Source organism: Homo sapiens, chromosome 8 (genome assembly GCF_000001405.40).
Source record: "Homo sapiens chromosome 8, GRCh38.p14 Primary Assembly".
Classification (NCBI taxonomy): Eukaryota; Metazoa; Chordata; class Mammalia; order Primates; family Hominidae; genus Homo; species Homo sapiens.
The window spans coordinates 25,885,113-25,908,314 of NC_000008.11; the positions used below are offsets into that span (position 1 = coordinate 25,885,113).

The 23,202-nt window shown below is 41.1% G+C and overlaps 1 protein-coding gene across 1 annotated transcript in view, besides 2 other annotated features; it reads right to left on the bottom strand.

Annotated features, from left to right (window-relative positions):
• EBF2 (EBF transcription factor 2) overlaps positions 1-23,202 on the bottom strand; it is a 203,689-nt gene that overhangs the window by 43,388 nt on the left and 137,099 nt on the right. Inside the window, exons 8-10 of the mRNA NM_022659.4 lie at positions 4,640-4,757; positions 2,730-2,860; positions 1,643-1,769 (exon numbers count right to left, since the gene is read on the bottom strand). Coding sequence (NP_073150.2) covers positions 1,643-1,769; positions 2,730-2,860; positions 4,640-4,757 — 376 coding nt within the window. The remainder of the gene's footprint in view (positions 1-1,642; positions 1,770-2,729; positions 2,861-4,639; positions 4,758-23,202) is intronic.
• Positions 14,289-14,790: an enhancer, noted in NCBI's record as "H3K4me1 hESC enhancer chr8:25756917-25757418 (GRCh37/hg19 assembly coordinates)". NCBI's record gives its function as "activates a minimal SCP1, AML or CMV promoter by ChIP-STARR-seq in naive H9 embryonic stem cells {active_cell/tissue: H9 hESC(naive)}" and the evidence as "EXISTENCE:reporter gene assay evidence [ECO:0000049][PMID:30033119]".
• Positions 14,791-15,290: an enhancer, noted in NCBI's record as "H3K4me1 hESC enhancer chr8:25757419-25757918 (GRCh37/hg19 assembly coordinates)". NCBI's record gives its function as "activates a minimal SCP1, AML or CMV promoter by ChIP-STARR-seq in naive H9 embryonic stem cells {active_cell/tissue: H9 hESC(naive)}" and the evidence as "EXISTENCE:reporter gene assay evidence [ECO:0000049][PMID:30033119]".

Here is a 23,202-nt window from a genome sequence, read left to right on the forward strand (position 1 = left end):
TGAAGACAATACCTTTGAGTTACTCTTCGTTGCACAGAAACCCTCAATGCCTTCTTATTTTCTGACAAGTCAAGTCTAAACTCCCTTACCAGGCTCCTTTTTTTTTTAACTTTAAAAAAATGTGGTAAAATACTCATAACATACAATTTACCATCTTAATCATTTTTAAGTGTGCAGCTCATTTGGGCTAAGTAGTTCACATTGTTGTACAACCATCATCACCATCCATATCCAGAACTCTTTTTGTCTTGCAAAACTGAATCTCTGGACCCATTAAATGAATCCCCAATTTCTCCTCCCTTAACCCTTGGTACCCACCATTAGACTTTCCATCTCTATGAATTTGACTACTGTATGTACTACATAAGGTTTTTAAGCTGTTTTATGCTTTCTTTCCCTCCCATGCTGATATGGTTTGGCTGTGTCCCCACCCAAATCTCATCTTGAATTGTAGCTCCCATAATTCCCATGTGTTGTGGGAGGGACCTGGTGGGAGATAGTTGAATCATGAGGGCAGTTTCTCCTATACTGTTCTCATGGTAGTGAGTAAGTCTCACGAGATCTGATGATTTTATAGTGGGTTCCCCTTCACTTGGTTCTCATTCTCTCGTCTGTCACCATGTAAGATGTGCCTTTCGCCTTCTGCCATGAATATGAGGCCTCCCCAGCCACTTGGAACTATGAGTCCATTGAAACTCTTTTTCTTTAAAAATTACCCAGTCTCGGGTATGTCTTTATCAGCAGCATGAAAACGGACTAATACACATGCCTAGCACATGTAGGGTAAGTTCTAGTTTAAATACAAAATGCATTGCCACAGCTGTCAGACAAGCTTTTGGTCCTGCAGGAATGTGCTCACCTCACCCTGTGGCCTTTGCCTATGGGATTCCCATAGTGAGAACATTCTCCCTTTCTCTCTTTGCCCATCCAAATTTTCCCTGTCCGTAAATATGGTCTTCAATTTCCATCTCTTCCTTGGCACCTCACCCCATTACTCTTGTCCACACTAAGCCCTCTCTTCCTGAAACTCATATTCCATTCATCGGAATTACCAAACATTTCAAATTTATGAATTCACCAGTTGTTCTTTGCAATATACCGTTGTCTCCTTCAAAAGTTTCTAAACTTCCAAGTGGGGAAGGGATCATGTCTTACGTGTCATCCATACCCTTCTCTTAGAAAAAGCAGTTGATACAAAGTAGAAATTTAACAAATATTGACTAATATATGATGTTTACCTTCTTGAAGTTTTAAAATACTTTGAATTGCTCTCCAACATCACTAGGCAACTCTCTTGAATCTTTTCAAGAAAATGTAGTTACAGCCAATAACTGTCTATTTTTTAATCTGACCATGTGGATAAAAGATGGTTACAGCATGGTTCCAACAGAGTTAAATTTTCAGAGATGTGTTCCTGAAATGAGCTGCTGTGATCTCCCAGATCATGCAGAAGTTGCTTAAGTAAAACACTAATTGAGAAGTGAACCTTCACATCACCATTCAACATCTATCACTCAGCTCACTCTTTCCACACTAGTAAAAAGACCTAGAAAAATCAGGACGATTACAAAGTGCAGATACTGGGAACTAGCGCAAAGGCAAACCAGAAGCCAGCCTCTCTTGGAATCGTTTTCTCACCTACCTGTGTAAATGAACCTTCCTGGGGCTCCTTTGCAGAACTGTTTAGATTTATAAGATAATGTCACCTCTACCACGCCTGGGATGTGCCGGGGAGGAGTCTGTACTCTGATGGCATGAGGGGTTATTAGCTGAGGAATGAACAGGCAGGGAAATAAAATACCCATTAGACAAGCCATCACCAAGGACATAAGGTGTACAACATCTCCCACTATTGCTCCCCAGGGGCTTCTTTCTCTCTGCTCTACTCTAACTGGAGTACTCCTAGCTCCAAATGCACTCTGAACATCCCTGTCCTGTCTCTGTCTGTCTCTGTGTATCTGTCTGTCTCTGTCTGTCTGTCCCTCTCTCTGTGTGTATGTCTCTGTCTCTCTCTCTCTCTCTCTGTCTGTCTCTCTCTCTCTGACCCCCACCTTGGAATTTCCTCTCAACTCAACCAATGTAGGTCCTTTATTTCCTACAAGCCCAGGCCAAGTCCCTCCCACCTCCTGCTGCCAACCCCACCCTCACCCCTGGAATCCTTTCCTCTGCTGAACTCCTATCCTGCTTGTGATTTCAAATATTGATCTGGCAAGTGCCAACCCCAACTTAACACTGTCACTTATCTTTTTGTCATGTTTTATATGATGATGAAAGTCAAACACATCCAATTTAGAACATTTTGAAATTACAGAAAAATATTTTTTAAAAATTAACATCATAAAGACAATCAATATTAACATCTGGTATGTTTCCAGTACCTTTGTATAAATGTGTGTTATATAACTAGATTTTACATCCATAGGCAGTGTTGTCCTTGTTTTTTTTCTGCTTAGTATTACAGTGTGAGCATATCCTTTTTCCTGTATCATTCGAATTTTTTCAAAACATTTTTTAACGGTGGAGTGACATTCCATCACTTTACAATTCTAGATTTCTAAGTTTTCACCATTTTAAATAATACTGCAGTGGATACTTATCTTCTTAAGAAACCCATGCCTGATTTACTATGACTTTTATGCTTTTTTACCCTTGGTGTTTGTGCTAGTTTCCCAGATCAAAACAATCTTTGGGCAAAAGGAAATCAGAGTAAGCCTGTTGCCTCTGCTTACCTCGCTCCATACAAGCATAGTCCCAAACACCACTTGGAGACCATCAAAGAAGTTGTCCCCGATGATGATGACCATGGCTCCTCCTGTGGTCCAGCCTTCACTCGGGCTAATGGCTTTGATGCAGGGGGTAGCTAAGAAGACAGGAAAGAAAAAGTCAGGTTTGTTCTTTCATGGGTGTCCAACTTTTTGGCTTCCCAGGCCCACATTGGAAGAAGAATTGTCTTGGGCCACGTATAAAATACACTAATGCTAACGATAACTGATGAGCTAACAAACAACAAACAAAAAAGGTCCATGTATAATTTTTGTGATATCCCCCACCACAGATAAGAAAACAAATCCTTGCCTTCAAAGGATTGGACACACCACAAATAAAAAGTCCTTGCATTCAAAGGGCTGGACACCCGTATTTGGTTGAAGCCTAGAATTCTGCGGATGGGCTGCTTTTGAAAGCTGCTGGTCATTCCAAGAAGTTCAAGCTGAGATTTGTTGACTTGCCATCATTCCCTAACTGGCTGTTGGTTTTCACCGAGTCATTAAAGCCTAATGAGTTGACCATTATGTATGAAAAAGTAAAACACTTAGGTAATTGTGCAAAGGGTGTTTGAAAAACTCTGTTGTTTTTGCCCATATTTTTATAAGTTGATCACACTGGAAATGTGTAAATCCCCTTTCTCTCCCCACCTCCTCTGCCCTAAGATGTTAAGATTTACAAGGCCTGTTAATGGGCCAGAGAGAGAGAGGGGGAGAAAGCAAAATCTATCATAGTTGAAGGCTTTTTTCAGCTCTATCAAGAGACAATTTCTAATCACTCTACTAACTTTGTAGGAAGGATTTTCCCCACTTCTTCCATATGCTCCAGGCCTCTGGACTTTATATCCCAACAGGAACCCAATATGGTTTTCAGGCCATAACTAAAGTCAATCCATCACTCCATTTCCAAAGTTGACAGGGTCAAAGGTAGAGGAGAACTTTGGCAGGACTCCAAAAACATGAGCCCCCTTTGAACAGCCAGTCAATCACATCCAATCAGTCAAAAGAAACTGGATGGGTTCCTAGTCCTGAACTCTGGGATTTTCTTCTCCCCTTTCAGTGCCCACTGTGGGAGAATTAACACCACTCCAAATTCTTTACTGATTCAATCATTTTCTTTCAGTTCATTAATTCCTGTTTACAATGATACAAGATACATTTTCAGGGCTGAGTTAGGGTGGGAGGTGGGGGTTGGGTGGTAGTATATAACAAAACATCACACTAAAATAGTAGCCTAGTTTGACCAACATTCTGTATTATAAGGTCTTTCTATACCAGTGAGTTGGGGAGTGCAGACAGAAGGGGAATAATTAAAATGGAATTTACTTAGATTTGTCAGTTATCTTCATCGATATACTTTAATTTTTTGGACAACTTGAAATTTAACAGTTACCGGTATTTCTAATTACTTTAATGCACTTGGAAAACTACCCAGAACAGACCATGATTTCTTCTTGTCCAAGCAAACAAAAATCAATTAGTGTCAGTTTCATTCTGAGCATTGTTTTGTTTTGCCTACAATCTGTTTAAGGGCACATGTGACACTTATTCATACATGTCTGGCACTGCAATGTTCCTGTTTAACTAAGATGTCATAGGCCTATGTTTGCCTGAAATGCCCGTCTCACAAAAAGGAAAACACAGAACAGGATGGAAGAGAGTGGGAGGCATGAGGACTTGGCACGGGCTGGTAGACGTGTGGGCCTTACAGTGGAGCAGGCTGGAGTCTGTGTTTACAACTTCGTTTAAAAAAAAAAAAACCCACATTGTTCTGTGTACTTTCTCTGCTCTGACTCCAAGACATAAATTTGAAGTTCGAACAAGGAAATTCGTGGAGAATTTCATGTGTCTGCTATGCTGAGCGCAGGCAGCCCTACCTTCCGATGGATCGAGTCTTCTTGCTCTCCGTCCATGCTTGGAGTTGTTATGAACAAACATGTTGTCAGAAACAGCCAGGACGTGTCCATCCACATTCACCGTTGTTGACAACACAACCTGCATATTTAAAGTAAAAAGGAGAAAGGGGGTGCAGTGGAATTAGTTTCACATGAAGTAGCAAATGCACCAAAATTCTGTTTTGCCACACTTCCATTTGGCAAAGGGGAGATGGGACAGAACTTGGGACTCAACAGAGTTTTCTCCTTCTGTAATTATGTCAAAACTTTACAGAAAAAGTGGCTGCCCTTCATCCATGCATTGTCAAGAACCTTTGCTCAAAGCACACCCATGTAATGAAGTGGAGAAAATGACCATCTGCCTGCTGGTTCCAGAAACCTGGTTCTCTATCAAAAGACCTGGACCGCCACCGCCAGTGGAGCCTCCACCACAGAAAGCTGGTGTGCCATGTGGAAGCTGAGATCTATACGCCAGCTGGAAAGTCACTTCTTCAAGCTCAGGAATGGGTTCTTGCACTTCAGACAGGTCCTGACATCATGCCCAGCATTGGGATGCTGGCTGGTGAATTGTCTGTGGTGTTGCTGCCCAGTAGAGAGTGGTGGCAGCGATGCCTCGACTTTTGCTGAGAAGATAAGGTTGCCATAATTCAGTGTTGAAAATAGAGGATGTGTAGCATCTAATGAGGGTGAGGGGAGAGGTGGTGTGGAACAGTGGCAGAACATGGGTTTGGAGTCAGGGAGAGCTGAATTCAAATCCCAGGCTTCTGTCCCCTAACTTGCAACCATGATCAAATTACTTCACCTTTTCTAATCTCAGTTTTTCTTATCTGTAAGATATAAATAACAATGTGTATCTCACAGTGCTGAAATGAGGTATAATGAGATATAGGCACACATCCCTAGTCCAAGAATCTGAAATCCAAAATTCTCCAAAATCTAAACCTTTCTGAGCACTGACATGATGCTTAAAGGAAATGTTCATTGGATCATTTTGGATTTTGGATTTTTCAGATTAGGGATGCTCAACCAGTAAGTAAGTACAGAATGCAAATATTCCAAAACCCGAAATCAGAAGCACTTCTAGATGCAAGCATTTTGGATAAGGAATACTCAACCTGTAATACATATAAAGGATTCAGCACAGTGCTTGGTGTGTGCCAAACTGGGATGAGTTTGCGTCCTAACTGCTTTGCCCATGCTGGGCTTGACCAGACCATAAGACAGATGACATTACTCACACACAGAGGTTCTCCCATGGTCTAAGCTCGGGGGGAGGTCCTAGGAGGAGGCAGATAGGAAATAGGTACCAACAGTTATAAGGCATGGTCCCTAACCTAAAAGAGTTTATTTTCTGGCTGGAGAATCATAGTTAACACAGGAAACAAGTAGCACAAAGACTGGTATCAAATCGAGCTCCAGCATATGTACTGCAGATCAGGGGTGGGGGAGAAGCTCAAAGAGGTGGATATCAGCAAAGGCTGGCCAAGCATAGCAGAAGGGAGTGGACCTGGGTGGAGCTCCCACCGAATCACTTGACCCAGAAGACGAACCACCCTAGACATGGGTCTATTTCTCAGTTCACATCAGTTACGCATGGCCATTATTATTGAGAAAAAAAAAGAACTTATTATATACATACTCACAAACATGTGTAGACCTTTTGAGGAAGGGCACTAAATAGGTACAAAATGAAGAGTCGTGTTTAAAAATGACTCTTCCTGTCTACTCCCAAATTAAAACAGTTGATATTCTACTTGTAATTGTCCTTCCTTACTTATTAAATGGAGGGCAGGGGGCTTGATCCTGTCGTATTTTTTTTTTTTTTTGAGATAGAGTCTCACTTTGTTGCATAGGCTAGAGTGCAGTGGCACCATCTTAGCTTACTGCAACCCCCACCTCCAGGGTTAAAACAATTCTCCTGCCTCAGCTTCCCAAGTAGCTGGGATTACAGATGCCTGCCACCATGCTCAGCTAATTTTTGTATTTTCAGTAGAGACAGGGTTTCACCATGTTGGCCAGGCTGGTCTTGAACTCCTGACCTCAAGTGATCCACCTGCCTCGGCCGCCCAAAGTGCTGGGATTACCGAAGTGAGCCACAGCTCCCAGCCCTACCTTACCTCTGAATATGAAGGAATGAGGCAGCATTTTAAAAACCTTTTATTATGAATAATTTCAAGCAAACAAAAGAAACAGGATAGCATAATGAATCCCCAGTACTTACCATTCAGCTTCAAGAATTGTCAAAATATCGCCATTCTCATCTCAGCTACAGTAGACCCCTTATCCAAGAGGTCTATGCTCTAAGACCCCAGTGGATGTCTGAAACCTCAGAGAATATCAAACCCTATATTATGCTTTTTCCTATACATACCTATGATAAAGTGTAATTTATAAGTTAGGCACAGTAAGACATTAATGACAATAATATTTGAAATAGAACAATTATAAAAAGATATTGAAATAAAAGTATATAAATGTGGCTTCTCTTTTTTTCTCTCAAAATGTCTTATTGTACTGTACCTTGGGTAACTGAAACCACAGAAAGTGAAGCCTCCAAAGTGGACGGGGGAACTACTGTTTACCACCACCCACTCCCAACCCCCTACTCAACAATGATAATAATCACAGGTTTGGGTTTTTTTGTAGGTAAAATTTACATACATTGAAATGCACAAATCTTAGCTGTCCAATTTACACTGTGATCAAGAAGTAGACTATTTCCATCTTCCCAAAAAGTCATCTTGTGTTCCCTCCCAGTCCATCCTACCCCCACCACCAGCAAAGCAATACTCTTCTGATTTTTTTCTTTGCCCTGAAGAGTTTTTTGATGACATCTTTTTAAGTTATATTTTTAGCATAATAGGTTTGGGAAAATCCCTAAAACCCATGAGTCCACAAATCATCTCATATAGTGTCACATCTTGAACATGGTGGTAACATATGCAAAATTTTACATGAATAAGTGTCAGTCATCCAACCCAACAGATAATTCACTGTGTTTCTAATATGTGACAGGGCCCAGAGATTCAAAGAATAAACTTAAAGGAACCTCAGTTGTCATTCAGAAAATTATCAATATAATTGCTCACAATTCAGGGGTACAGCCTGTCTAGCGCTGTGTCTGTTTTCAATTGTGTCCATGTTAACATGTTAGAATCTGGGGAAATTCCTTCCAGAAAGTTCCTATCATAGTGGCAAACATTAAGATGGCGGCATCTATCACTCCCCGTAAGTGCTCACGTTCTTATCAAAGTGATCTCAGCAAAACACAAGGTCATGTTACAGTCGAAGGGAGAGGCAGAGCCTCATGGTCGCAAGGTTAAGATGAACATGAAGATTGTATTGCCTACCCCCCGAAAATAATAGGAGAAGAGAGAGAAGAAAGAATCAAACCACTCTTATAAATTGTGTGTGTGAATGCATTTTCAAAGACATAACTGTCATCTCTGGAAAAAACAAAACAGAAAACAAGGAGAGGGTGCTTTGGGCTTTAATTCTTCCATTTTTTTTTTTTTTTTTTTTTTTTTTTTGAGACAGCGTCTTGCTCTATCACCCAGGCTGAAGTGCAGTGCAGTGGCCTGATCTCAGCTTACCACAACCTCTGCCTCCCAGGTTCAAGCGATTCTCCTGCCTCAGCCTCCCGAGTGGCTGAGATTACAGGTACCTGCCACCACACCCAGCTAATTTTTGTATTTTTGGGGTTTTACCATGTTGGCCAGGCTGGTCTAGAGCTTCTTACCTTAAGTGATCCTCCCGCCTCAGCCTCCCAAAGTGCTGGGATTACAGGCATGAGCCACCGCACCCAGCCATGGGCATTAATTCTTAATGAGCTGTCCTAGGCACACTAAGGGGAACCTGGGCCCTGTCTGAGGATTACGTGGAGGTAAAGAGCCTTCTCTCTGAGGCTGCTTTAATTCACTCCACAAGCTCCTTGTCATACTGTCCATTAATACTCCCCACACATTCCTGCCACAAAATATGGGGCTTTCACAAGCCAGCTGATTTCATCATTGTCCATTTGGGTGGAGTGAGACTTAGTTCCAAAGTGAACATTTCCCGAATGACATACCCTGATGGTTCAGATGCACTTCATTATTTTCTATTAACAATAGAAATAAATTTTAATCTCTTGCTGGCTCACGCTGGCCTCTCATGACAGCTAGGGAATTAACCTGAATTATGTCAGTGTCCATAAAATTTATTACAAGATTTTAAATTATGTCCAAATGTATGTGTGTGTGCATGTGTACGTATAGATATGAGGCAAGTTCCAGGTTTTAATATTCCAAATATCTCAGATGGTGAGGTAGCTGGAAGAGCCTGCCAATTCAACTGAATTTTCAAAATGTGATGGATTTAATTCATAAACTCCACAACAGGAAACCAGACCTGTTTGGTGGTTATTTCTATACATAGAGACACACACTTAAATACTGACTTTTACATACATTTGCTTTACTTCTGGAAGAATGAACTACATTATACAGGTGAAGATATATTTGGTACAGTCAAAACTTCAAATTTAAGTTCCTTCACTGTTTACTGATGAACAGTGACAACACTGATATTCGTCTATTTGGAGAAGTTAAGATTTCTGAACGTTTTAGGACCAAAGGAAGTGGAATGCGCATTCCAACATCATCTTACTCCCAGGCCTTCCCCTTCCACAAGCCAACTTCTTTCCCCTAGTGAGTATTTCCTGGGTCACGAAGGCTGACCCTTCCCATCTGGAATCAATCAGTCAACCCCTGACAACTTCCTGAAACACCTCACTCCATTTCCTGTTCTCTCCCCCTTCTCGTTTTCCCCCTGGTTTGCTTCACTCTTCAAAACTGCAGGCCACAGCAGCTTAATGTTAGAGGGTCAGGCACAGTTAGACTCCAAAACACTACACAAGGACACCTTTGACCTTCAAAAATCTTTACATCTTAGCTAAACAAATCAAGGTCAACATTTCTTACCATTACCTTGTTAACTATTTGTATGCATCTCTGCCAAGGGTCTTCTGATCATATAACCATCAATACCACTTATTCACCTAAGATCAACTGATCTGCTTTAAAAGAAGCAAATGTAGTATGGATAAAAGGTGCCATTCGGAGGTGCCTGAAACTGAAAATCGCCAGCATTATATTAGCAAACATACGGATAGTAATCCATACAAAGGAACTTCTATGCCTCATCGTCTCCTGTCACCTAGACCTGATAACGTGTCTTTTCTAAGGCTGTCACTCTATTGGCACTGCCATTCTGCTGGCATGGCCCTAAAGAATGCCAATTAGGAATACAGATGTCCATAATTTGTGTGGGATGGACCCCCAGTTTCTGCTGCTGACACTGGTGACAGTTTTCATTTATTTCTTAGAGTTGATACATCTGTATTACAGCTCAAAGCCTGCAGATCTGAAAACTAAGTCATGGTAAATGACAGCTCTCCTCAACTGATATATTGCAATGCAAAAGCAACAACCAATTTATTTAGGACAAAGTACCTTTAACCCAAGTTTCTGAGAGAGAAATCAGGATCAATTGAAATTGCTTGCATTTTTTTCTAAATAAAAGTGGTTTTCGCCTTCTGCCATTCCCTATTTTGCTTTGATGTGATCTCTCATTTTTAGTAACACCAACTCAACAAACAGACCAATTGGAGAGTGACGGTGGTAGGTTCCATTTTAAATCATTTAATTATATGGCAATGTTAGTTGGTTATACAGAAATAGAAACATGAATAAAAAGTCTGTATCTTCCCATGAAAAATACAAGAAAGTTTTAAGAACGGAATCTACAAGTACGTTAGCAGTCTTCTACCAGTTCTCAAGAAAACCGATCGGCTTTCTCAAATTCTATTTTTCTTTTCATTCCCCAAAAGTTCTCCCATGTCCCTCACTCCAATAATTTATACAAAGCAGGAGCTGAGTTGTAAAGGAGCCCTTTCCTGCTAGTAAAAGGCCACAGTGGGGGTCACCCTTCAGGTGGACACATCCGTTAATCTGCCTGAACAGCTAATTTTCCAATAGAGGAGTTATTTCTTTAGTTATCAGAATGATAGCATGTGCCATGGAGACTTTTACCAAACTGACTTATTCCTACCCTTTGGTTATTTTTATAGCCCTTCTCTAAAATGTCCTTGGCTTTTTGGAACACCGTGTGTGTATGTGTGTGTGTGTGTGTGTGTGTGTGTGTGTTTTAAGTACTTATCCTTCTCAAAACTCTAACTGTATGATTTAGTTGAATTACATAAGCCAAAGGAATGGCCAGTTGGGCCCTACTCCCAGCTAGGCTTTTTCAGCTCCTACCCAGGTGTTTCTACAAAGACCCTAAGTCTCATACAAAGAGGCTGAAAGAAAAAGAGAAGTCAAAATGAAAAATGTGTGGAATCACCAAATGATCTGCTCTTTGAAACAGACGACAATTCCAATGTCTGCAGTCACTAGAGAATAATTACACTGGTCAGAAACCTCCCCGTATGGGCCAGAGTCTTTGCTTTGAAAACACACCAAGTTCTACCATTAGTCAGACACAGTTCCCCACCCTTTCAATGAGGGTCATGCACCTCCTAGCTGAATGTGGGGCCTTTGGTAGTTTAATCTCAGTAAAGCTATAACACATCGCATTTATAGCACACTCCACATTGAAGACTCTGATACCCTACTTATGAATGTGCATACACTCAGCTAAATAAAATGGTCTCGAAAATTCCTGTTATTTTGCCAAGAGTGGGAAAAAAAATTCTTTATGACATTTTACATCTGGAAATGGAATTAAATTCATGAAGTGCTTTTCCCTTATAACTGTTCGGTTGCCATATATGTTATTTCAGCTTTCCCAAAGCATAACTGTTATGTGGGATTTTATTTTCCACCTGTGGAAGGAGGAAAGGGACAGAGAAACCATTAAAGGGACAGAGAAAATCAAGACAGACTTCTGGCTATGGCGAGCGACCAAGCTGCAGTTCCATATTGCAAGGAGAAATACACGTCGGGTTTTTACACAATCCCGAATTCTCATCATGGACAAGGTGAATCTAATGACACAGTTTTGTCTAAGCCTCCATTAATTCAATCCAGGCTAACAACTAACAAATGGGCTACTGCAGTTTGTTCTGCCCTACCACTTTATTCTTGGCACACATATTTTCAAGCCAGATTTAAGGCCCAGATTCTTCTTTGTTATGGGACTCCAGAGTCTCCAAAATTACCTTTAAACACCTACCCCACAAGCATGGATTTTGTCATTTTCTTTAAAAGGAATTCCCAGAATTCTCAGCAATGGCTGTTTCATATTCCCGAAGGCTAAATTTTCTGTTCAGTGAAGAATCAAGTCCCAGACAGGAGAACACAGAGTTGACTGCCATAGAGACAGATGTGGGAGGTTCTGGGTTGCTCCAGCAGAGAGAAGGGACTGGGCATCAATGGCATTACTCCTGAGAAGACGTGCTCTTTTCTTTTTTTTTAAAAAAAAATACATATTTTTAATTCTGTCAAGTTTAAACTGATATACTTGATGACAAGAATATAAACTAAACCAACACTGGTCAATTTACTCAGTTTAAAAAATTTCTTTTAACTATTTTACTTTTTTTTTTCTTGTGTAATTTCAACTTTTATTTTAGATTCAAGGAGTATACATGCAGGTTTATTACACGAGTATGTTGTGTGACACTGCAGTTTGAGATATGAATGATCCTGTCACCCAGGTAGTGAGCATAATTCCTAATAGGTAGTTTTTCAGCCCTCTCCTCCTTCCCTTTCTTTCCCTGCTAGTAATCCCTAGTGTCTATTACCCCCATCTTTATGTCCATTGGTACCCAATGCTTAGCATCCACTTACAAGTGAGAACATGCAGTATTTGGTTTTCTGTTCCTACATTTATTTGTTTAGGATCATGGCCTCCAGCTGTGTCCATGGTGCTGCAAAGGACATGATTTCATTCTTTTTTGTGGTTGTGAAGTATTCCATGGTGTCTATGTACCACATTTTATCTGATCCACCATTGATGAGCATCTAGGTTGATTCCATGTCTTTGTTATTGTGAATAATGCAGCAATGAACATACAAATGTGCATGTCTTTCGGGTAGAACAATTTCCTTTCCTTTGAGTATATACCCAGCAATGGGATTGCTGGGTCAAATGATAGTTTGATTTTATTTTTTTCATTTTAACTAGAGAAGATACTTTCTTAAGGAACCAGACAGCACTGTGTTTCCATCAGTCACTGGGTATTTATTGAGACCCCTAGGCGCTCTGCTACATGCAATGGAAGTTTATAGGAAACATTGTCGCAGCCTTAAGGAGCTCACCCTACGGTGGACAAAGCATAGCAAACACTAGACATAATCAGAAAATATTATTGCACGGTAATCTGTCATTGAGGATTAAACTGTGGCCACTGTGTACTCTAGGGGCCCAACGCTGGGAAGAATCAGCATAAATTGAAGGCTATCACAGCCATTTTCATCAAGAAAGTGAGATTTAAGAACAGACCTTGAAGAACTGGGGGAGTTACACAACTTGAGATTACTGAGATGATTATTCTGGCACCTAAGAAGAATTCTAATTGGCATAAAGGAAGTAGTATGCCCAAGAGCTCTCCGTTGGTGTATTTTGGCTAATTTGGCTTTAGAGTAAACACCTTCTAGAGCTTACTTTTAAAAACCCAATTGAGAAATCCAGTGGCAATTAAAAAAAAAAAAACCAGCTTTTCATGTCATTGAGGAGTGTGAAGATCATTCATCTGCTTTGCAATACTGAATGTCTCTTCATCTTAAAGGCCACAGATACTTGCTACTCCCACCCTAGCTCATTTTATTCCATTGAACCCATTACTTTTCCCAACTAAAATTTGTGCCAAGTGGGATGGTTACGGTCAAGGGCAATATTTTACTAGCAAAAGTTTTGAGAGCCACAGGGGAGCCATAACATATTTGATGCAGTTCTTTGTTTGGCTTGGGCATTCTTGTCTAGGAAGCTCTAGCCCCAGGGACAACCTGAATCACCTGTGGCCTATCAAAAATCAGGAGCACACAGGCCCTGGAAGCAGCTGAGGAACTATGCACTCTTATTGCAGGACTAAGAACACTTTGCTTTCCAGGAAGTTCTGCATTCGATAGTCCTGGAATGGGTTCAGCGGCAGGTTTGTGTCCAAATTAGAGTCCCTTAAAATATTTGAGCATTTAGATTGTGTTTCCAGCTAACTGCAGTCTGACATATCCTCTCCCAAAAGTTTCCCAGGCAACTACTGGTTTTCATTTCTCACCTTATACTTTTACAAAGAGCTCAAAACTCATTTCCTGGGTGAGTCAGTCAAGATTTCTGTCATCCTGATTCTTGTCCCCATTCAAGACACCAAAATTTAGGGGTGGAGGCAGCAGAAGGTTCTAACAGCAGAGAAAAGCCTGAAGTCACTCCAGAGAGCCTTCCCCAAGCTTACATCATTGGACTAAGAGAAAGATCCTCCGACCCTCCACAGTTTTTTTTTTTTTTTCTGACTCCAAATAGATAATTATGATTTCTTAACTAGGACTATCTGGTTTGTTTTATCATCAGATAATGGACTCACCTGCTGATCAGAGAGGCCATAAGTCAAGTGATTTCCATTATGTGCTTTAAAACTGCTGCTCAGTAGCACTCCGGATTTCAAATGGTAGATGAGATCACAGAGCAGCTGGAGCAGCTCTCACACTGAAAGATGTGAACTGAAGAAACCTGCAGGCAGCTGGAGCTGTATTAAATTTTTACCATTTGGAGTTAATTTAAACTCTCGTTTCCCTCTCCAACGGGTGTGAGAGAAACATTCAACATTTTTTATTTAAGGAAAATAGATGGTGGTGCCATTAAAAAGTTTTATATAAGAGCTGGGGGTTTAAAAATCATAAGGGGTTGCTGGATGGAGCTTGGCTCTTTTCCAAGACATGAGTAGCCGTGCCCTTTGCTCTCACGTCGTTTAGTAAACCCGACTAATGGCTCGTGCCCAGCTGTGTGTACGAGGTGTCTTTGTCAGAGCCATTCATTTGCCCCATCGTTCTTCTGCAGTTGTCGCATCCAGCATGTTGCAGCAACAGGCACGAGGCCTCTCACATGATCCAACCACCCTGTGGACGCCAGTCAGTCCCAACGGGGCCTCACTTCCTTTCTCCATTCCCATCCGGCAGATCTTTCTGCCCTTGGTTCCCTTCTCTCCCACACCGGGCGCTTCTTCTTGCTTTCTCACAGGCCTGGCAGATGCGCCAGGTGTGTTTTCAAAAAGCTCCAACCCCTTCCCTCGAACCCTTCAAATCCCCATCAAGATGCCCTTCCAGCAGGCCCATCCTGGGCTTGCATGCAACCTGGAACCAACTCAGCACTGAAGGCTTCCCCAGCCTGACTCCTGGAATGATTTTTCTTTCATTAGAAATGTGTCTGTCTGGCCAGGTGTGGTGGCTCACACCTGTAATCCCAACAATTTGCGAAGCCAAGGCGAGTGAATCACTTGAGCCCAGGGGTTCGAGACCAGCCTGGGCAACATAGCAAAACCCTGTCTCTACAAAAAACACAAAAATTAGCTGGTTTTTTGTGTTGCATGCACCTGTAGTCCCAGCTACTTGGGAGATTGAAGCAGGAGGATCACTTATGCCCAAAAGACCAAGGCTGTAGTGAACCAATATTGCACCACTGCACTCCAGCCTCAGTGACAGAGTAAGACCCTGTCTGTAAAAAAAGAAAGAAAAAGAAATATATCTGTCTTTCCATATCTACTGACATATCTCTTGAGGCCAAGGATGACACGACCTGCACATATATCTCAGTCTTCTCCCTAGCATGACTCTGTAAATTAAAAATGATTATTCTGGTGGACCTAATCTAAAAAGGGAGTAATTTAGGGGGTAAATTTGAGACACCCAAGGGTCTCTCATGAAAGTTCAGCAAATTGAGGTAAGCATCTTTATCTTAATTACAAGTAAGCTGTCGATTAGAGTGAAGTTCATTAAAAACTAACCTGCACATTGTGCACATGTACCCTAAAACTTAAAGTATAATAATAATAAAATAAAAAATAAAAAAAGTGAGAAAACTAAAAAAAAAATGATTAGGCAGGATGAAGAGAGGTTGGTTAATGGGTACAAACATACAGTTAGAAGGTGTAACGTCTAATATTTGATAGAGTGGGGTGACTACAGTTAACAACCATGTATTGTACATTTCAAACCAGCTAAAAGAGAGAACTTGCAATATTCCCAACGTAGAGAAATGATCAATTCTCATGATGATGGATGACTATGGATACCCTAACTACTCTGACTTGATTATTACACATTCAATGCATGCAACAAAATATTGCATGTACCCCATAAAGATTGCAAACATTATATATCAATAAAAAAAATTTAGGCTGGGTGTGGTGGTTCACATTTGCAATCTCAGCATTTTGAGAGGTTGAGACGGGTGGGTGAATCACTTGATCTCAGGAGTTCAAGACCAGCCTGGGCAATGTGGCAAAACCCCGTCTCGATAAAAAATACAAAAATTAGCCAGGCCTGATGGCACACACCCGTAGTCCTAGCTACTTAAGGGGCTGAGGTGGGGAGATGGCTTGAGCTGGAGAGGCAGAGGTTGCAGTGAGCCAAGATTGTACCACTGCACTCCAGCTTGAGCAAAAGAGTGACATCTTGTCTCAAAAAAAAAAAAAAAAAAAGTTAATGATTTTTGAGGTTGGACTGTGTCAAGGATCTCAATTCCAGAATGCTACTACATCTGAAACGACCTAATATACACGCTTGTGCTGCCCACAGGATAGAGAACACCCCAATGATCATGTATTTTTAAAATGAAGTCCTTTTGAGGCAGAGGGTAAAAACTCAGCATTCAGGCCTCTAAGCTTCCCAGTCTCAAGTAGATCTGCTGACATTTGTGTCCTATAATAGGTGATGCTGTGGAAAGCTCAGAAAACTATTCATAAGAGCATCCACACTTACTGTTACTATAATGGTGAGTATCATTTAGCTCCACAAACATCTATACTTGACCAAGCTGCTGAGTTCCAGCAAGCACCACAAACACAGCTGGCACTGTACGGAAGCCCACTGCTTCCAGGAAAGTCACCTGAATGTCACAGAGAAGCAGACTTGAGCTATGCAAACCACTCATTTATTTTTTATATCCTTCCACTAGGATGCAAGCCCCTCAAGGGCAGGAATTTTATGATTTGCTCTCTGCTGTATCTCCAGCACCTAGGATAGTGCCTGGCACACAGAATTTCATCAGTAATATTGGCTGGGTGCATGAATAAATGAATGAGTACCTCTATGTTTTCACTATGACTTGGAATAGACCCAGCCATCCTATCTATGACAGTGAATTAGCAACAATAAGCTCTAAATTATTGTCAATTCCTAGTGATTTTTAGAATGTGAATGTGGGAAATGACCGTGTGCCTGACTTCCTCTTCCTAGCTTGATTTTCTTTTGGATTTTACAACTGCCTTCACTCCACCCACACAAGCAGAAAGAAATAAAGAATGGGATTCATTATGTCTTAACAGGCCTGTCAGCTTAAACTAGACATACATTTCTTTTCTTTTCCTTCATTGAGCTGTTAATCTGGGTGTTTCACCTAATTGTTCCATTTCAAGGAGGGCAGAAGTGATTTTCCGCATGCATGACCCATGGATTTAGATACTTTGAGGAGCCCTGGAAATCTTAAGTTTGTTTTCTCTTTTTTCCTTTTTTCTTTTGCTCTCTTAAAAATTTATTTAATAATAATCCATTATTTTAATCAATTATTTTAATAATTAATCTATTTATTTAATAATAATCTACAGAATGCCTGCCATTATGCTAGACATTGGCAATACATACAAAAATAAATAAAACATATCGATTGCCTTCAAGCAGCACACAGTCTATTGGACAGACAAACAAGAACTGCAAGATGATGTGATAACTGGCAGGGTAGGGGCCTGCAGAGAAGGGTGTGTCAGCACAGACCCAGGAACCAACAGCTCCATTTGGAAGAGTCAGAAAATGCATCACTAAGGTGGTGACATTCAGCTGTAGCCTTAAAGCATGAAAAGGAGTCACAAGTTGGAGAGGGGTGAAGGGTTCCCAGGCAGAGGGGTGAACATATGGAAAGCTTCCTAGATGGAACAGAAATCAGAGATGGGTGTGTGGTGAGCAGCAGGCAGATGAGAACTTCTGGGACAGGCATGGCAGGTTTTCCTGGTAGGCAGAGGCTGAGTGGCCTTCTCAGCCATGCCTTTTTAAATCCAGGCTTTGTGTCCATGGACAGTTGATACCCATTTTAGTAGGTGTATGTATTTAATTTTTATGGATACGTAGCAGACATATATATTTATAGGGTTCATGAGATATTCTGACACAGGCATACAATGCACAGTAATCACATCAGGGTAAATGCGGCATCCTCATGACATTTTGTCTGGGTTTTTTTTTTTTTTTTTTTCCTTTTTGTGGAGAACAAGGTCTCACTACATTCCCCAAGCAGGTCTCAAACTCCTGGGCTCAAGTTGTCCTCCTGCCTCTGCCTTCCTAAGAGCTGGGATTACAGGCATGAGCCACTGTGCCTAGCACCCTGACATATTTTAAGAGGTAACTCTGGCATTCATGCTGAGGACGGGTTAGACAGGGGAGGAATAAAGACAGGGGCTACAGCCGGGCGCGGTGGCTCACGCCTGTAATCCCAGCACTTTGGGAGGCCCAGGCGGGTGGATCACGAGGTCAGGAAATCGAGACCATCCTGGCTAACACGGTGAAACCCCGTTTCTACTAAAAATACAAAAAAAAATAGCCAGGCGTGGTGGCAAGTGCCTGTAATCCCAGCTACTCTGGAGGCTGAGGCAGGAGAATGGCGTGAATCCGGGAGGCGGAGTTTGCAGTGAGCCGAGATCGCGCCACTGCACTCCAGCCTGGGCGACAGAGCGAGACTCCGTCTCAAAAACAAACAAACAAACAAACAAAAACAGAAAAAAAAAGACAGGGGCTGTGGCAGCTTTTGAGGAGAGAGGTGGATTTAATAGATACTTAGGAGGAGGCAGCGACACTTTGACAATGAAAGAGGAGGGAATGAATCAGGGAACAAGCAGTGAGTTCTGTTTTGAACACGTGCTCATTAGTCATCCAGGGAAGATGCCCAGAAGGAAGCTAGCATTATATGCCTGCAGCTCTAAAGAAGTCTGAGAATATGGATACAGAAATCATCCAGGAACAGAGAGCATTTGAAGCCAAGAGAGTGGATGAGAGATCACCAGGAAAAGTCCTAAGTGGACAGATCCCCACTGTTAAAGGTTACCTTACATGAAGGATGCCTATTGGGCTTTAAATGAATTCCATTTCTTTAGACTAGAGGTCCATGGAAGCTTGAGATATTTCAAGTGGTCTGGAGACCCCTGAAATTTTAATTAAAACTTTAAACGTAGTATTTCAATGGGATACAGACTATAGCTTTTACCAGATTCTTAAAGGGGTCTGGGCCAAAAAAAAAAAAAAAAGGTTAAAAAGGGTTAAAAGGGTTAAAACCCTTTGTGTTTCAGTATTTTTTATGTCCTATAATACTTAGGACTTGAATGAAATTAAAGAGAGGATTGGTTCAAGCTTGAAAATAACCTTGATGTAACAATTTTGGTCTGATTGGATGATTTTTGTAAAAAGAATCCAGGTTCCACCAGTGTTTGGGGGTAAGGGAAGGAGGGGGGAGAGTTTTATAGAGTTCAGGATTTGGGTAGAAATTTTTCATATTTCTATTCCATTCAGATCAAATCCTCACGAAAGAATCCTTCATATTAAATTTATGTTTGATCATATCACAAAAGTAGAGAATTGAAGGAATTGTGTATATGGCTCTAAATGATTGTCTTTGTCCTTCTGAGTGAGATACATACTCTAGGAATTTCTGAAAGTCACCATCCATTCAGATGACTGTCCTACCACCATGAGTATGCACTCTCTCTGGTTTTGTTTCATATTTGGAACCTGAACTAAGTTTCTTACTTGACTATGATAGCATATTGCTAAGCCTGTCTTCATAATAACCTTCTCTATGAGAGAGCTTTCATTGAAGGTTATATTCTTAGTAGAATCTAAGTACAGTATAAAAATTGCCAATTCTTTTGTGCACCAAAGGACACTATCAAGAAAGTGAATGACAACTCATGGAATAGGAGAAAATATTTTCAAATCACATGTTTGAGAAGGAGCCAGTATCCTGAATATATAAAGAACTCTTACAGCTCAACAATAAAATGACAAATAATGCAACTAAAAAATGGGCAAAGGATTTAAATAGACACTTCCTCAAAGAAGATATACAAATGAGCAATAAGCACATGAAAAGATGCTCAAAATCACTAATCATTAAGGAAATGCAAATCAAAACCACAATGAGATACCTCTTCACACCCATAGGATGACTAGAATTTTTTTAAAACAGAAAATCCCAAGTGTTGGCGAGGAATTGACACCTTCACAGATTACCAGTGGAAATGTAAAATGGTGCAACCACTATGGAAAACAGTTTGGCAGTTCCTCAAAAACTTAAAGAAACAATTACCATATGACCCAGAAATTCTGTTCTTAGTTGTATACCCAAGAGAATTAAAAACATATGTCACACAGTGAAACTGTGCACAAATACTAACAGTGTCATTGTTTGTAATAGCCAAAAAGTGAGACAATCCAAACGTCCACTAACTGACTAATGAATTTTAAAATGTGATATATCCATACAATGGAATAGTCAAGCTGTAAAAAGGAATGAAGTATTGATACATGCTATCACATAGAGGAACTTTAAAAACATTATGCTAACAGACAAAAACAGACACAAAAGCCACATATTGTATGATTCTATTTATGTTAAATTCCCAGAATAGACAAACCTATAGAGACAGAAAGTAGATTAGTGGTTGCCAGTGAATGGGGAGAAACAGGAACTGGGAGACATGAGATTTCTTCTTGGGATAATAGAAAAGTTCTGGAATTAGATAGTGGTGCTGGTTGTACAACACTTTGAATGTACTAAAAACCACTGGACCCTGCACTTTTAAATGGTTAAAATGGTGAATTGTATGTTATATGAATTTTATCTCAGTAAAAAATGCAAACAAATTGCCAGTTGACTTTAGCTCTACCCTTGAAATAAGACAATCAGAGAATCCACAAAGTCTAAACAATTCTTTTTGCCCTTGTCTTTGCAAAAGTCAAATACTTTCACATAGGATGAGAATTCTATATCATTTTGAGATCAACAATATTTATTCTATGCCAATGAAAAACTCAGGCACCATGAAAACCCCATTTAAGTAAATAACTAAAGAAGTAGAGGAAATATTAGCATGCATTTGCTTTGTGAATATATTCCTAAACTTTGGGAGAAAGAAAATGACAAGGCATTCTCCTACAATGGAAGCCTCTTCACATTTACAAGAGTATCCTCAAATTCTCAAATTTAAAACTCTTTGAAAGTGCTGGTAGAAAGTAGGATGGAATAAAAATCCAAACTGCCAACTCTCTTTTCTCTGCCTCTGTATCTTCTAGAAATAAAGCTAAGCTTTGGTCATGGAGGCACTTTGGAATTCTTTTGAATTTTACTCTTCTTTGGACTGAAATTATTTACATTTTTATTTGGAATATTGAGCACAGTGAATTTCCACCATGCACGAAGTTCCTGTTTGATCCCCCAAGAAGGCTGGTTTTATTTCTGTTTTTCTTCATACAAGAAAGTAGGCCCAGAAGCGGTGGCTCACACCTGTAATCCCAGCAATTTAGAAGGCTGAGTCGGGTGGATCACTTGAGGTCTGGAGTTTCAGACCAGCCTGGCCAACATGTCAAAACCTCATCTCTACTAAAAATACAAAAATTAGCCAGGCGTGGTGGCATGTGCCTGTAGTCCCAGCTACTCAGGAGGGTGAGGCAGGAGAATTGCTTGAACCCAGGAGGAGGAGGTTGCAGTGAGCCAAGATCATACCATTGCACTCCAGCCTGGGTGACAGAGCGAGACTCCATCTCAAAACAAACAAACAAACAAACAAACAAACAAAAAAAGGCAGGGAAACAGCCTGCCCAAGAGAGAAAAAGTCTCCAACTTTTTAAAGGGAGGCTGGTAATAGTGTTAAGTATTGTAATGAAAAATGTTCCTGTCACAGCAAGATTGATAGCCATGATGGGGTTAAAAAATACTACTACTAGTTTTTTTTTCAAAGTAACTCTCAGTAGCCCTTGTGTATGGCCATCTTCCTGTTAACTCTTGAATGGCTCTGCTCCTAAACATCTGTCTGATTGTGGCCTAACCACAGAAGCTCTCCAGCAGGACCAGCTACATAATTTGTAGGGTTCAATAAAAAATGAATGTCACATTCCTTGTTCAAAAATTATTCAGGGTCCGATGTGGTAGCTCACACCTGTAACCCCAGCACTTTGAGAGGCCTAGGTGGGTGAATCACCTGAGGTCAGGGGTTTGAGACCAACCTGGGCAACATGGCAAAACCCCATCTCTACCAAAAAATACAAAAATTAGCAGGGCATGATGGTGCACACCTGTAGTCCTAGCTACTCAGGAGGGTGAGGCATGAGAATCCCTTGAGCCCAGGAGGCGGAGTTTGCAGTGAGCCAAGATCACACCACTGCTCTCCAGCCTAGGTGACAGAGTGAGACCCTGCCTCAAAAAAAAAAAAAAAAAAAAAAAAAAAAAAAAAATTATTCAGAATTTCAAGAAGACAACAGCAAAAGATAAACCTAGCAGCTGCAACGTGTCGCATGCCCACAGTGTGCTGGAAAGAGTTTGATCAAACAACTCCTCCCGGCTCCTGGCTCCGGGCTTTACCACCTACTTACTGTGATTAGGGGCAAGTTATTTAACCTTCCAGAACCTCGCTTGTCTCAGGCGAAACATGAGGCTAAGGTTCCCCATCTCTCTCATGGCTGCAAGGATTTACTTTTTGAAGTCTCAAGCTTGCATACTATCGTTTAACATGTTTTTAATTTTTCTATGGAAAAGGAGGTGCCACATCTAGAACGGGGTGTGAGTGGCAGGAAAGCCATTTGGTGAATTAAATATGGGTCCTTCAAAGCTCAAGGAAGGGGGCCGAGAGGAGCTGCTCTTGCTTTCGTCTCCAGCCTGATACACTTTGCCTCGCTCTGTTTTTATTAGCTCGTCTCCTCAGTACATCAGTGGCAAGGGTGATGAAACCGGTGGCAGATTTAACTGCCAGGCAGCTGGGTCACCGTCCCGTGGGTCTTGTTGTCACGCTGCGATCTTAAAGTGACCACGCTGCTTGGGCTGCTGCCTTCCAGAAGGCTCAGAGAGCGACCACTGAATAGTTAATCGGTGGAAAAGGGAAGACAGGAGCTGTTGCTTGCAGAAAATACAGAGAAGCTGCTCTGAAAAATCCCAAGGTGGCTGAATATCAAGAACATGGTTCCTGCTGTGGGCAGCTGTGTGTGCAGTGGGCAGCCCGAGGGCTGAAAATCAAATCTCCAGCACCGGTTGGTGCCTCTCCCCATAGGGCTTTGGCAATGGGGGCAGAAAGCTTAAACACTACAAGATGAAGAAACTCT